Genomic DNA, 14,850 nt, shown 5'->3' on the forward strand with positions numbered 1-14,850 from the left:
AATTCCAGGGTTTTTCTGCAATTGCACATCCACTGCCCTCCACTTTAGTGCGTGAGTGCAATTGCATTAAGAGTACTAGAAAAAGTAAACCCTTTTTTTTTCCAAATCAGAAAACTGTGTGTCCTAGTGTGGCAAGAACGCCAGCTTCAAATAAGAACATCTCTCATCTCAGTTTTCAATGAGACAGAGCAGGAACAAAAAGGCACAAAGACAAGAAACCACCAAAATGAGATTTGGAAGACATCTTTCTCAGTCGAGGACCAGATTCCTCTGCAGTAGTAGGTGAGCTGCTTTACCTCTCAGATCCTTAGTTTTCCCTTCTAACAAATGGAGTGGTTTGGACTCCAGATTTTGCTGTAAGCACATGAGAGATTATCTAAAGACATAGCTTCACTATAGATGTCAAGACATGCAGCCATGTATGGAATTTTAGACTCAGTTTTTGAATTGAATGAATGTATTCTAATATTCTTGCTATTATGTTCTGAGGCTAAAATTTCCTATTGTTTTGAGCTTACATAAGCTGACCTCGTTTACTATGGGAACATTATAAGTATTTAGGAATATGAGGGTAAGCACCATAGAAAGAATAGTTCAATCTAGACACGAGAGGCTCTTTTTTTAAGCTTCATTAACTGATAATTATTTGAGTGCAAAACAATGCCCTTACTGTTTGATAAATGAATATTAGCTTCATGTCATGCTGATAAAAGTCATGAGCAGAACTAGACTTCTCTGCATTTGGGGGACTTTGTTATTTTGATGCTAATGGATTATGTTCATTTTATATAGATAGATATCTCGAATCTCGAATGACTCAGCAGGACCGACTTAAATTAGATTTGTCCATCCATACTTTGCTTATTAGTGTGTCCTGAATATCTTGATGGCAGTCTTATATTACAATGTGTACTTCACATAATTTATCTATCATGACCCAAAGATTTTGATGATAGGAGAATTTGATTGATCATTAAAATCACGATTATGTATTTATTTGAAAGTATAGCATTGTGATTACTTTTCCCCAAACAAGTATTCTCAGAATCAGCAATATGCAATAACTTATTAAAATCTCTTTACAATGTATGCTCTTTTGGAGTGCGTTGAATATTACTTCTTTGTAGATATTAGCTTCTCATAATGGAGAGTTGTATTAGTCTGAGTAGGCTGCAGCTATAATAAGTAACCTTCAAACTTCAGCGGCTTTACATAATGAGGGTTTACTTCTTGCTCATGTCACAGTTCAAATGCACACTGGTGGGAGTGGGGAGCAGAGAGAAGCATTGGACAGGGAATGGGTTCTACCCATCAGAGTCGTGCAGTGACCCAGGTTTCTTCTGTCTTGTGGCTCCACCCATCTCTGGGTCCCTGGTGTCTTCTCTATTCAGTAGGTGGCTAGAAAAGGGGAGTAAGAATTATAAATGAGATGATTTTCTTACTTGGCTCAGTGTGGAAATAGCGGGCCTAATTTTTACACACGCTCCATTGGCTGAGTCTCTGACACGAGGATGCGGTCTGGTGGGGTGACCAGAAAGAAGAGGGGACATCAATGTTGATCAGCACTGACTGTCTCTTCCACAAGATCTAGACACCAAATCGGGAATAATTAAAGATAGGTTTGGTGAACGCTGAATACACAAAAAAAATCTTATTCTGACCATAAAAGATCAAGCTATGACTAAGGTATAATAAGATCAAGGTAAAATAAGACCAAGTAAGGTGTACAAATAATTATACCATAAGATGTATGAAATATAAGGTATAAATCTTCACTGACCACCATTGTCAGTGAAGATAATAAGACAAGATGTACAAATAATCATACCTTTTATAAAAGTTTATGTCTATACAGCCAGAAAGCTATAAATACTGATTAACAGAGGAATAAAGTCTACCAATTTGGGAGGACTGGGAAATTGTCTTGATGTGATGGTACTGACATTGGGCTACATATTCAACAACCAGAATTCTAGATTGCTTCTGTCATTTGCTTGCTGCAAAATCCTGAAAAAGTTTCTGAGCCTCAATTTTCTTGTATGAATATTCATATATTCTCATATATAAATATCATAAGGCCATATGAAGGGGGATGTTCAAATTAGGTCATGAATAGGGAAAGCTTTTGTGAATGATGGTTCAAATATCCAATTAAACCACTGCTGTTACTCTTATTATTATTTTTTAAATTCTATGCCGACAGGCCAGGCTTATGTTTATAAAACATTGTTCAGCACACATACACATACAAACACAGACACATCTGCACACACCAAACACACACACACAAACTTCCAGGTAGTAAGAAAATAACTAAATGCTCTATTTTTTTGGTATTCAGAATGAAGCTGAGAGTCAATGCCTACATATTTGGTTTCCCTGGTCACTAATATATCTTGCTTCTGTGCTAGTTTTATAACCTGTCCTTGGAAAGTAACATCAGTTATTTGTGTCTGTTCAGGTAGGCTGGATGTGGGACTCTCTGTCCTTTCTGGCTTATAATATTGTTGAGAGCTTCAGAAAAATTAAGTTTGTGAAAACGTTTTTTAAACTGTAAAAGAATGTATATATGGAAGGGAGGTTTATTATGATTTTGCCTAGTTTAAGTTCCAAATGTCTATCCAGTTAGTTTGGGTCATCCCTATAAAAAAGTATTTAAATCATACCTTTATATACCCTTTTAGCCAAAATCTAGTGTGCTTTAAATAACACATTAAAGCAGCAAGTGTAAAGAAGTCATTTAATATCTGGCATCCATTATTTTTGTTAACTTTGTTTTTACTGATCTCTAAACACCCAGGTTGCCTATTCTCAATAATATTATAATGTTCCATTCTCATAATGTCACATTCTTTTGTTGGGGAGTGCAGAGCACAGGGAGTCAGAGAATAGATATTTCTCAGGAATCTCAAACCTACCTTGGGTGGTCCTCATAGCCTAGGATCAGTCTAGCCATGTACACATTCCAGGGGCTAGATGAGCAAAGCCATACCATGCTTTGGAACCTGGTGCCAAATTCCTATAATTGGCAAGACCAAACCTTCCTTCTCGATTCTTCACTTTCAAGCTGTGGCTACCTGGATGACTGTCTTACAAAAATGCTTGGCCGAGAAGTTGTCAGAGTTAACATCTAGGGAGGTAGAATGACAATCCTTTAGCTGACATTATTGACTTAGAGTTGGGAAGACACAAAGCCATAGTTTTTTATTGGATCAGCAAGTCCCGTCTGTAAATTCTGACAAACCAGGGTGTCTTCAATTGTCTAGGAGACTACAGAGAGGTTCACAAGATAAAATTAGGTTATCTTTGTAATGATAACTCTACAATGTATGTGACTTTTATTATGGTAAGTTCCCATTTGTTCACGCCCCAGGCCATGCTCTGTGTTGTTTCTAAACTGGAAATGGGATTGCTGAATCAAGTTCAAACACGTCGCAGCATCAATCCCCTCTTGATCCCTCCCCTGTCATAAACTCAGCTCCGGATCACTCTTTCTGGCAGTTCCCCACGTTCCCAAGCGTTTCCACATTCTTCACCCACTTTTAGAAATGACTTTTGCCTCTTCAGCCACCTGGAGAATGACTACTCATTTTTCACAACTCTCATTAAAAATTCCTATCTCTGGGAGGCCTGCCAGGATGCACTAGGCAGAATGAAGACTGTCTTATGTGTGATCACATAGCACGTTATATGTAGGACTATTGCAGACTTCAGCCAACATATTGTGACTGTTTCACTCTTTTGTGTTCCTCAAGCAGATTGTGAGCTCCTTAAACACTGAGATGACATTTTATTTTTGCATCCCCAAAGCCTAGCACCTGCCCTGGCACTTTGTAAGTATTCAGAAAACACACAATGAATGAATGAATGAGTGAATAATTGTCCCTCTTAGAAGAAGCAGGAGACTTACAAGACAAAGCGATAGACAAGTGTGCCTACACTGAAAAGTTAAGAATTACACATTGAGACCCACACTTTGAATCAAGAGTGGAAAAAAAAATAGGTAGTAATTGCAGAGGGAGGGCAGCTAAGCATGTGGCTGCTTTGGGTATTTACTCATCAGACCAGACTGAAACAGTCTTAATCAGGGAAAATCAATCTGCCTGTTTTTCAGTGTAAGCATAAACATGCTGACAGTAGATGCCGCATAGGTGTTCTGAAAAATCTTACATCAACTTCAAGTTAGTTATAGCTTCATTTACTTTCTGTGTATAAGTTTGAATTGTTTATGCTTACCTAGAAGGGCGAATTTATCTTCTGCAAGCAGTGTTCTATATCATGTCACGGCTGAGGTCAAACGTCTCTTAATGCACAAAATACAGTCCAAACTCTGCCTGAGATTCCACCTCTTCTCTAACTTGATCCAGTTTGCATTCACTGTTCTCTGTATTCACCAGCTGTCTCAGCAAAAATTGTCCACATGTCTTCCTCCATATCCTGTTGCTACCCTTCACAAGTCCTCTTGTTTTCTCCAATACCAGCATCATCCTGAAACTTTTGTGCTACCACACATGCCAATGATATCTTCATCATCTGAATTGTCCTTTCCATTCAAATAATCACTTACTTGTGCTTCTTCTGCATAGTAAAAGAAATTGTTCAACAGAATTCAATCTTAAATTTTCCATAAGGCTTTGTGCGTTGTTTTCCCAGACTTATTTTACAGTTACTGATGGAAGGAACTTTGCTTCTTTGTGTTCAGTTGTAGCGGCTAGCACAAGGCCTTGATAATCCTGAGTGTGTAATACATGTTTGTTGATATTTGAAAATGATGCCTGAGTTTATTTTTTTTAATCAATTTATGTTTTTTGAGACAGAGTCTCGCTCTGTTGTTCAGGCTGGAGTGCAGTGGCACCGTCTTGGCTCACTGCAACCTCTGCCTCCTGGATTCAAGCGATTCTCCTGCCTCAGCCTCCCAAGTAGCTGGGACTACAGGCATGTGCCACCATGCCCAGCCAATTTTTTGTATTTTTAGTAGAGACGAGGTTTCACCATGTTAGCCAGGATGGTCTCGATCTCCTGACCTTGTGATCCTCCTGCCTCAGCCTTCCAAAGTGCTGGGATTATAGGCGTGAGCCACGTTGCCCAGCTTGATGCCTGGGTTTAATAATAACAGTAAATTAATCTTTGAAATGGAAGCGTCTGTACAGAGGGATATGGTGCTTCCTTTGCCTAGCTATTTATTAAACCGCACTCCTTTGGTGCTTCCTCTGGTGGCAGAGGAGTGGGGTTTAATAAATAGCTAGGGGCTCTGTTCTCTCACTGGCAGTAGATCACCAAGGTGATCAGTTTCAACTCTGGATGTTTTCGTTGTCTCATTGGTAAAATGGGATGATAGTAATAGTTGTGGAAAGAAAAACATGCAAATAAAGTCCATGTAAAGGTTGTGCTTCATGGTCAGTATACATTAAATATGAGCTACTATTTTAGTGATTTTCTCTTTTATAGGTCCTAGGGCCTAACTTCCTGTGGTCACATTGCAACTCTTCCACTGATGTGTGATCTCTTGCCTTGGGCATGTCCCTTAACTCCCAAGCCTCTGTTTCTCTCCCTGTAAAATAATCAGGGCAGTAATACTGTCCTCCCAGTGTCATTTTGAGAAATAAATGAGACTACGCATGTAGCACACTCAGCGGTGTGCATAGACCATAGTAAGCACTCAATAAATAGTCTCTGTGCTCATTGAAATTCCACTTGCCCATGCTGACATTTCCATGAAGAAAGTGTTACCCTTTATCACAATAAATAAATTATTTTTCTGAAAGTTAAATCCCAAAATATGTCATATCCCTCTTTTGGCCTTCCTCTTGGTGCCATGGAATAAAAGGAAAAGGTGTTTGTTGTTCCATGCATTTGTTTGATGTAGTTGTTCTTTTGTAGGAATGAGCTTTCTGTAAAAGGGTAGTCTTGTCTAAGTGATTTATATGTATCTGATGTAAGCATCACAGCTCTTGACAGATAGGGCCATCTATCACCATACCATGGAAAGTATACAGACAGATGGCAGGATACCACTGACCCATGTTTCTTGGGTGTGGTCAGTCCTGATACCTCCTTCAGTACCTGTGCCACCTACCCACTGAAGAACTCACACACACTCCTGCTCATGTGAAACGGGTACATCTATTGGCTGGAGTGTTTACATGGAATCTTATGTCTTCTTTCTAGAGAATAGCCTATGCTGTTTTCAAGAAGGGATAAGCATACCGTAGAATTCCTTGTAGGAGGATTAACAACTATGTTTCTTTTGAATTCCCTCTCAGGGGAAAAACGTACAATCGAGCTGTTACCTCTATTCTAACCTAGTCAAGCTTCATTGGTTTGCAGGTCAATCTCAAAATAGGATTTTGTTTGAATCTCAGATACAGCAAAGCAAACTTCTGCATAAATACTAGCTAGGTATGGTGTATGTGTGTGTGAAGTTCCACATAAGAAGACAAAATAAACGTTGTTTTGGCCAAATTGAGTGTATAAACTCTCTGGGATAGTGATATGCCTCTTATGACATTTAATATATTGGTTAAAATCACTAAAAACTTATTTGCCAAATTTGCATGGCATGTCACGTATCATGTAAGTTGTTTAAGACACAGCATGTTTAAGTTTCTATATGACACTCTCATTGGGAATTTTATGTCAAGACATAAAAATCCATTGACATAACATTAGGTCAGTTTTTTGTTTTTATTTTGGTTTAATTTATACTTTTAAAAGTTGATCTTTAATCCCTCTTCGTTTTCTGTTGAACCCACTTCAGTAAGACTTTTGTTTCCAAACACTTCACCAAAGCAGCGTTCGTCAAAGTCCACCACGAACCTCATAGCTAAATCCAGTGGCCTGAGCGCAGTTCTCATCTTACTTGATCTACCCCAGGATTTGACACAGTGAATCACGTCTCCTAAAACTCTTTTTCCATTTGACTTCTTGGTTATCACCGTCTCCTAAAACTCTTTTTTCATTTGACTTCTTGGTTATCACTTTTGATTCTCCTCTGGTTTCTCCTTCTCAGTATCCTTTGCTGGGGGCTGGCCCATCCTCTTCCCTTCCACAGCTCTGTCGTGGGTCTTTGTAGCTTCTCTCTCTGCATTCTCTATCCGGGTGATTGCATCCTGGCCCATGTCTTTAATGCAACTGAATTGCTAATGACTGTTGCCCCTTTGGCTCTGTTCCAGCCACACTAGCCTCTTTCCCTGCCTTGCCTTTGACTCTGTTCCAGCCACACTAGTCTCTTTTCCTGCCTTGAAAATCCCAAATGAAATTCTACCTTTACACTTTATATTTACCATAACTATACATTTGTTCCGCCTGGTAGCTGAATGGCCCCTTCTGTCACTTCCTAGAACCTTGAGTTGCCATTTTATCAGTGAAGTCCTTCCTGACCTGCCTATGTGTGTGATCTCCATAACATAACCACTCACTCTAATGCTTATTTAATTACTTTTATCAGGCAGGGGCCCAACGGGAAACAGAGGGCACATTGTAAAGTGTTTTACAGAAGAGAGGTTAACAAAAGAAATACATATGAAGCCATAGGCAGGTTAAGGCAATCGACAAGGAGTGGTGAACTACCCAGGGATGAGCAACCATGAAACAGCTGTTTTCACCTCCAGAACTGAAAAAACAAGGGAAGACAACTATGTTACCCAAGACTGTTTGCAACCTGGAGCTATGAAAGATTAACTACTCAATAGGAATGTGGCTGGGGAAGAGCACAGCCACTTCCAAGAAGGACCGTGAAGACCCAAGGGAGACAGAGAGGGAGAGGAAGATCAACTGAGAAGAAATACCCTGGACTTTCTCTTTTGCCTTCTGAACTCTTTCTATTATCTTCCATTGGCTGAATCAATAAGATTCCACAGGGTGCGTGAAGCTATCTCAGGTTAGCTTCCGGCCACCCAGAGCAGAGCAGAACAAGGTGGGGAATGGATCTAGGGGAGAGAACAAAGACAAACTAATAAAAGATCTTTTTAAAGGCTTATTTTCACTTGGCACTTGGGAATGTGATATTCTACCCTGCATGGATCATGACAAAATCAGCATTAAATGTTCTTGCCTCCCTTTTGATAGGGTAACCTCTATACCATCCAAACTAACATTGGTTGAAGTCTTAACAAGCCATCGTGTCTTCTCCAAACAGCAGGAGTGGTGTTCAAAGTGTTTCACAACCAGTGTGACACAGGCACAACCGTCAGAACAGTAACCCAACAAATGAGAGTCATATGCAATACTGGGTCCAAAATAGACCATTTGGAAGAGATGCTACAACGTGAATATTTGAAAAGGGTGATCTTTTCTTTTCTGAGGACATCTGAGAAAATTGTACCCTTATATCCAGAAATCCGTGTGATCTATTCATAGGCAATGTGGTAAACTTGATGGAAAAGGCATCTCATTTAAATCTCCAACAATTGTTCTCAGCTTTCTTCATTGTCAGATTTGGAACCTAAGGCTCAATTAAGGGTCGTTTTGCCTAAGACCACTAATTTAGCTGTGGTGGAGCTGGAAGTGACACCCAGACTTTCTGACTCCAAAGCCCTAGCTCTTGACTAGTCTTGATGTTAAGACTGCCTCTCAGATGGAATAGTGGTGGTTTCAGGGCAGAAGCTGCATATTTTGAACTTTTTACGTTTTTTTTCTTTTTCTTTCTCATTTTCATCTTTTTTTTTTTTTTTCTAGAGACAGGGTCTCACTCTGTTGCCTAGGTTGGAGTGCAGTGGTCCTGCTGCTTCTAATTCTTGGTCTCAAGCGATACTCCTGCCTGAGTTTCCAAGTAGCCAGCACGATAGGCACATTCCACTATGCTTAGCTATTTATTTATTTATTTATTTTACAGAGATTGGGTCTCACCGAGTTGCTCATGCTGGTCTCAAATGAGCTTTCATTTTTTAAACGTTTCAATAGAAATCCCTGGGAAAGTCTCTTCTCTTTTTATTTCCTACATGATTTTATCTTTCAAAAATCATTTGCATTCATTCCTGAATTTGGCTAAAATCTAAAGCAGGGTCTGAAGGTACTGTGTGTTTCTCCTCCTTACCACATCCGTTACCCAAACTCTGTATACAAAAGGCACCTAAAATATACATGTGAACTGTCTGAATAGAATTCCTTCTTACTTAAGACTGTGGTGTTAGGCTCAGAATTCCAAAGCATGAATAGTTACAGCAGGCGACACATAGGGTTGTTCTGACACAGGTACCTGTGAGGCATAATTGCTACAATTTACCTTGGACTGTGCTCTTTTTAAAACTATAGGCCACTTGCAGAAAACAATCGGCAAACCTGAATTTCCTTACTTACTGTGTTATTTCTACTTTTCTAAACCCCAACTTCCTGTTTCCCCTTTCTCTGCTTTACTACTGTCAATAGAATACCGACGAGAAATTACTCATTCAAGCTCTTCCTTTGCAATAATTATTTTGAATCCTTAAATCCTGACCCATACCTGTAGAGGTTCCCAGATGGGCTAGGCTACCTGTGTGGATAATTGGAAGGCTCCTCTGGGTACCGCTTTTTCCAACACAGCTTATAATGTCTTTGTAAAAATGAACAAACTTTGTGGGCTGGAGGAAGCAAAGATGATTTTTATGACCAGGAGCATGTTGGAACCTTGATTTTTTTGGTGTGTGTACACTTGTCTGCCTAAGTTAATGAAGGAAGAGTGAAGACTTGCTACTTACCATTTTAATACAGTTTCGAGTTTCCCAAAAGAGAATTTCTCATTTGTCTCAAGGTGATTTGAGTGTGTGTGTGTGTGTGTGTGTGTGTGTATGTGGGTGTGTAGGGTGTACTTAGGTTGTCCAGATGATAAATAGTGCCCTAGGTAAGTTGCAGGCTATATATGTAAAAAAATATAGAAGTAATATCGCAATGGGAGGTTTTCAGATAAAAGTAGAATTCAATTTTGTTTTGAAAGGCTATGATGAATGTTAACCACTTTTTTGCTGAAATTCTTTTCCAGACACATCTTAATCTTTTAAAATGATCCTTATGTGATTTTTAATATAAAAATATAATAATGTAGAGAAATTCTGTTATTAATAACATTTGAGGGAGCGATTTGTTCTTCATTTCCTTTTTCCACCCCCTTGAAATAAAGACAGAGCTATGGTGTGCAAGGCTGTGATGTGAACTGAGTTTTCTCGTTTTTTTTTTTTTCCTTGTTCCTGGAGTTCTACAACTGAGAAAATTATTTCCCTGGTTTTCTCACAATGAATTTCTGCGTGTTTCATTCAAAACAACAATAATGGAAACATACCCTGCATGTAATACATCTAAACACCCACAAATAAACAGTGATTAAGATTAATGTACCTTCAGCTTGTGCCTATTCTTATGCACTTATGTAGGCATGAAGATTTAATTTTCCCTGTCACACGAAGCAAATACCTTCTCTTATGTGGCAGATTTGTTTTGGGGCTCTCTCTAGTGCCCTTATTTCCCACATTGCTGTTTTGACATAGTATTAGCCCATTAAATACTTTCATGAAATACTGAAAAACAGGAATTAATAGAATGAACGCTGAAAAGTTTTATTTTGTACCCAATGTAAGTAGTATAGATGTCTTCTTGCTTTGTTTTAATTTTCTTTTTATTGTATATTTAAGGTATACAATATGTAGTTTTGATATCTGTATATATATAATGAACACTTCAATCAAGCAAATTAACATATCCACCCCTCTTCATAATTACCTTTGTGTGTGTAAGAGTACCTAACATCTACTTTTGGCACATTTTCATTATGCAATACGATATTATCAATAATAGTCAACACGCTGTACATTAGGTCCCTAAACTTACCGTCCTAGATAATTACAAGTTTGTATGCTTTGACCTACTTCTTCCCATTTCCTCCCTGTTTTTTCTGCCCCAGAAACCATGTTGTACTCTGTTTCTATATATTCAACTTTTTTTTTTTTTTTAAGATTCCACATATAAGTGAGATCATGCAGTATTTTTCTTTCTGTGTCTGGCTAATTTCGCTTAGCACAATGTCCTCTTGATTCATCAGTGTTGTTGCAAGTGGTAGTATCTTTTTCTTTTTTAAAACCGAACATTTATGTATATTCACATGCTATAGATACCATAATTTCCTTATCCATTTATCCATTTACAGGCATTGACGTCGTTTCTCTATCTTGGCTATTGCAAAGAATGCTGCCCTAAACAAGGGAACACCGACATCCCTATTGGGTGCTGTTTTAAGATGGGGAACTGAATGTCTTTGTCCTTTTAAAAAATTTTAAATATTTTTGTCTGTTTTTCAAGAAATAGTGCCTGTATTTCTCAGATCCAAAATATGCCCTGAGATATGTTAACAGCACAGATGTTATATTGATTAGAAAGTTTATATCATCAGTAATTTTAGTTTCAGATGGCCAGTGGTAACACAATTTTTTAAGCTTTAAAATGATGTAATAAATGTAGCAAGAACCAAAGTAACTTATGTGATTGAAAAGATAATATCATCTCCAATATGGATTACTTTTTTGTGTGTAACATTTTGTCACATTCTTTGTCATGGGACTTGAAATGTGAATCTTTAAAATGTGTTCCCCTTTCTCTGTCGTACCCCACATTCAATTAATTGCCAACTCCTGAATTTTCTGTCTTCAATGTTTCCCCTCTCTGCCATCATTTTTATCACTCATTCTGTCATCATTCTGATAAAAGGCCCTCATTTCCTCTGGCCTGAACTCTCACACTGCTTCTACCTCTTTATCTGTGGTCTGTGGTCTTTCTTTTTGTTGTTGTTTTTGAGACAGAGTCTCACTCTGTTGCCCAGGCTGGAATGCAGCTGCATGCAATCTCGGCTCACTGCAACCTGAGCCTCCTGGGTTCAAGCAATTCCCCTGCCTCAGCCCCCCGAGTAGCTGGGATTACAGGCGCGTGCCGTGACACACGGCTGATTTTTGCATTTTTAGTAGAGATGGGGTTTCACCGTATTGGCGAGGTTGGTCTTGAACTCCTGACCTCAAGTGATCCACCCACCTTGGCCTCCCAAAGTGCTAGGATTACAGGAGTGAGCCACCATGCCCAGCTGTATCTGTGGTCTTTCTCAAATCAAAACCTTTCCACGAAGTTGCCAGGTTACTTCATAAAGATGTGGTGAATCTCTAAACATTCAGAATCCTCATTGCACTTCAAATTAACAGCAACTCCCTGATGATATTCTCTCAGTGAGTCTTTCTCCTATTCTTTCAAGCTGATCTTCTAGAATATTCTCTGTAGGAACTTGACATTCTCACCCAACCCAGTTATTTCTGAATGCGTCTTTTGTGTGTGTCCGAAACTTTTTGTTGTTGTTGTTGTTCTTTTTTACCCAACTTGTGCTTCATGACTAAACGTAGCCCTTTACTTTTGTGAAGCTTTTCTTGAACCATCAGCCAGCTAGGGCTAAGCTCCTGTCCCCAAAACTCACTGAGCTTTTTCTGCCATTTTATCATTCTATCTAACTGGGCTGCACATTACAATAACTTTAATGAAATAGATACTCAAATGCATATTATCTAGAGGGTTTGCAATTGTGATCTTATTTATTCATCTACCAACTTAGAAAGGAAGGTATAAATGTAGCTTAGCAGGATTGATCCTATGCTTCCAAGTAAAGTAGAAGTATCACATGGGTGAATCATGCTGTCTGACTTTCATATCTCTGTGCTTTGCAGTGGCCTCAATCATAACCATTGGTACGTAATTACTTCTCTACTCTTTCAGATTTTATGCCCCTTGAGGACAGGGCTTACTCTTGCTCATAATTGTATCTTCCATGTAAGGTGCCTTTTGTGTAGTTTTATACTTTCCCAAAACTATAAAAAAGATATCAATATAATAACTAAGGGGAAAATAATCTATTAGGATGGAAAATAAAGCAGTCTCTGTGTGACCCCCGTGGTTTAATCTGGATGGAGAACGTGGATGGGGATACATTTTTAATATCATTCCTTCTCACTTTCAGAGACCTTAGGTACATTGACCTGAGAATTTTATCTGGGACAAGGCAAAGAAAAACTGCAACGTCAAAGCTTTTCCAAGTTCCCAGTATTGCTGAGGGTGTTGACCTATGGCAGCTGGCTCTTTAGTTAATCACATTAATGATGCTTTTAGTTTTAAAAATAAGAGCCAGGTGTAGTTCAGTCAAGGAAAGTTGAGACAAAGGGGAAATGAATTTGTTCTATGAGTTAAAGAGGGCTTTTTTCCTCCAGTTTTTCACCTGACAGCCTAAGCCTAAAAGATTTAACAATGGTGTTTGTACTTAATGGCTAGTAGTTATGTAGTACAGCATTATTTGAGGCATGTATACATAAAAGAAAAAAAAATTAGACTACAAGACAGTCACCAGTAAGGGAAATCGGTAATTATATCCAAAACTTCCTCTTTAAAGATGTCCTGTGACAATGCAGAAGGCCAGTTGTTTGAGTCCCAAAATGTCATACCCAACCTGAATTGCAATCCCTTGTGGGCAATTTTCTGAGAGGCAGAAAACACAGTTCTCTGCAGACCCATCCTTATTTACTTGCATGTATTCCCTGGTAGGTTCACTGTTGGCTTTTGTCAAATAATGACAATTCTTAGATCAGGTATTAGAAGATACAATAGATTAATGAGAAGTGCCTTGGTCTTATCCTAGGGGATAGGATGGGTGTCAAGACTCAGAGAAAGTTCAATTCGAATCAGAGGTGTATTTGATGGGAGAGAGGACCAGAGGGAGGTGGCTCCCCATATTCGTGTCAGGGAAAGCAGTTGACATGTGGCCTGAAAGATAATAGGAACACGGGAAAGGACTTAAATCAGTTGTATTGTCATAAGGCCCTATAAAGGAATCTGTATTACTTGTCATTAACTTTGCCTGAATAGCGAAGTGAGCTCTGTTTAATTAAATGAAAGCCTCAGTACTCTTATTAGAAAAGACGAACTGCAGCAGGTCCATATGGTCCCTACTATAAAACACGCAAAGCCTCAAAGTCTCAGGCCTGAGCAGCCTCAGCTGCCACCTATTAACATGAATGGTAACAGCATGATCATATCCTCAGACCTTATAACATTCATAACCATAGAGTTGTAATTTTATTCTTACAGTGACAAATGAGAAATTATAAACATTTAATTTGGAGGGAAATTTAACATATTATTCCCTAAGTCCACTTGGCAAGTGAAGGAGGCTATTAATATAAACTCATTACATTGCAGTATTGCATCCCTACAATCACAAAAGCTGGCTTTTTAAAATCACAAGTGACAAGTTGAGGTGGAAGAAATTCTGCATTTATAGGCCTTCTGTCAAAGTGAAGCGTCTTGGACCATGCATAGACCTGTCTGAATGTCAAGACCTATGCCCTCAGACTTCAGGGTGTTTATACATTTGGCTTTCAAATTGGAAACTCCACATTAAAGCATCCAGATTTTCTCTGGCTTTATTAAAGCGGCTCCAGAACAAGGTGAAGGAAGTGAGTTTCTCATCCTGGTCGGGGCTCTTGGTCCATAACTGTGCTTTAGTGCACTTTCCCAGTGGGTAAGGATGGAGTGTTAGCGCAGACAGCAGAGTTAAGCCGGAATGTCCTGCGGAGCCTCACCATCACAAAGGGTAATACTACTTTATCGATCCCTTCCACACTGTCTCCCACCGTTGTGTTAAGCCTGTGGCGAGTACAACCTTTTCAAAACGAGATCTGGCGATATGACTTACTTTCTAACTTGAACGTGAACTTAAAAAAAAAATGGATAAAAGCGTGTTTTGTAGGAATGGCATGGTGTTGGCATTTCACAGCGTAAATGATAAAAATAAAATCAAAGTCAAGTATCTCAACAGAGGGAAAAGAGTCACATTGAGACTTGCACACACGCATATAA

The 14,850-nt window shown here is 38.9% G+C and overlaps 1 protein-coding gene and 1 long non-coding RNA gene across 10 annotated transcripts in view; one reads left to right on the forward strand and one right to left on the reverse strand.

The window, feature by feature from the left end:
• The window catches only part of TENM2 (teneurin transmembrane protein 2), a 1,285,129-nt gene that overhangs the window by 184,939 nt on the left and 1,085,340 nt on the right, over positions 1 to 14,850 (forward strand). The gene's annotated exons all lie outside the window — the stretch shown is intronic.
• On the reverse strand, positions 967 to 4,434 carry LOC101927908 (uncharacterized). The gene is made up of 2 exons (NR_134280.1): positions 4,237 to 4,434; positions 967 to 1,398 (listed from the first exon to the last, which is right to left on the reverse strand). It is a non-coding gene; the product is annotated as an uncharacterized LOC101927908 (long non-coding RNA).

This window comes from Homo sapiens, chromosome 5, assembly GCF_000001405.40.
Source record: "Homo sapiens chromosome 5, GRCh38.p14 Primary Assembly".
Taxonomy (NCBI): Eukaryota; Metazoa; Chordata; class Mammalia; order Primates; family Hominidae; genus Homo; species Homo sapiens.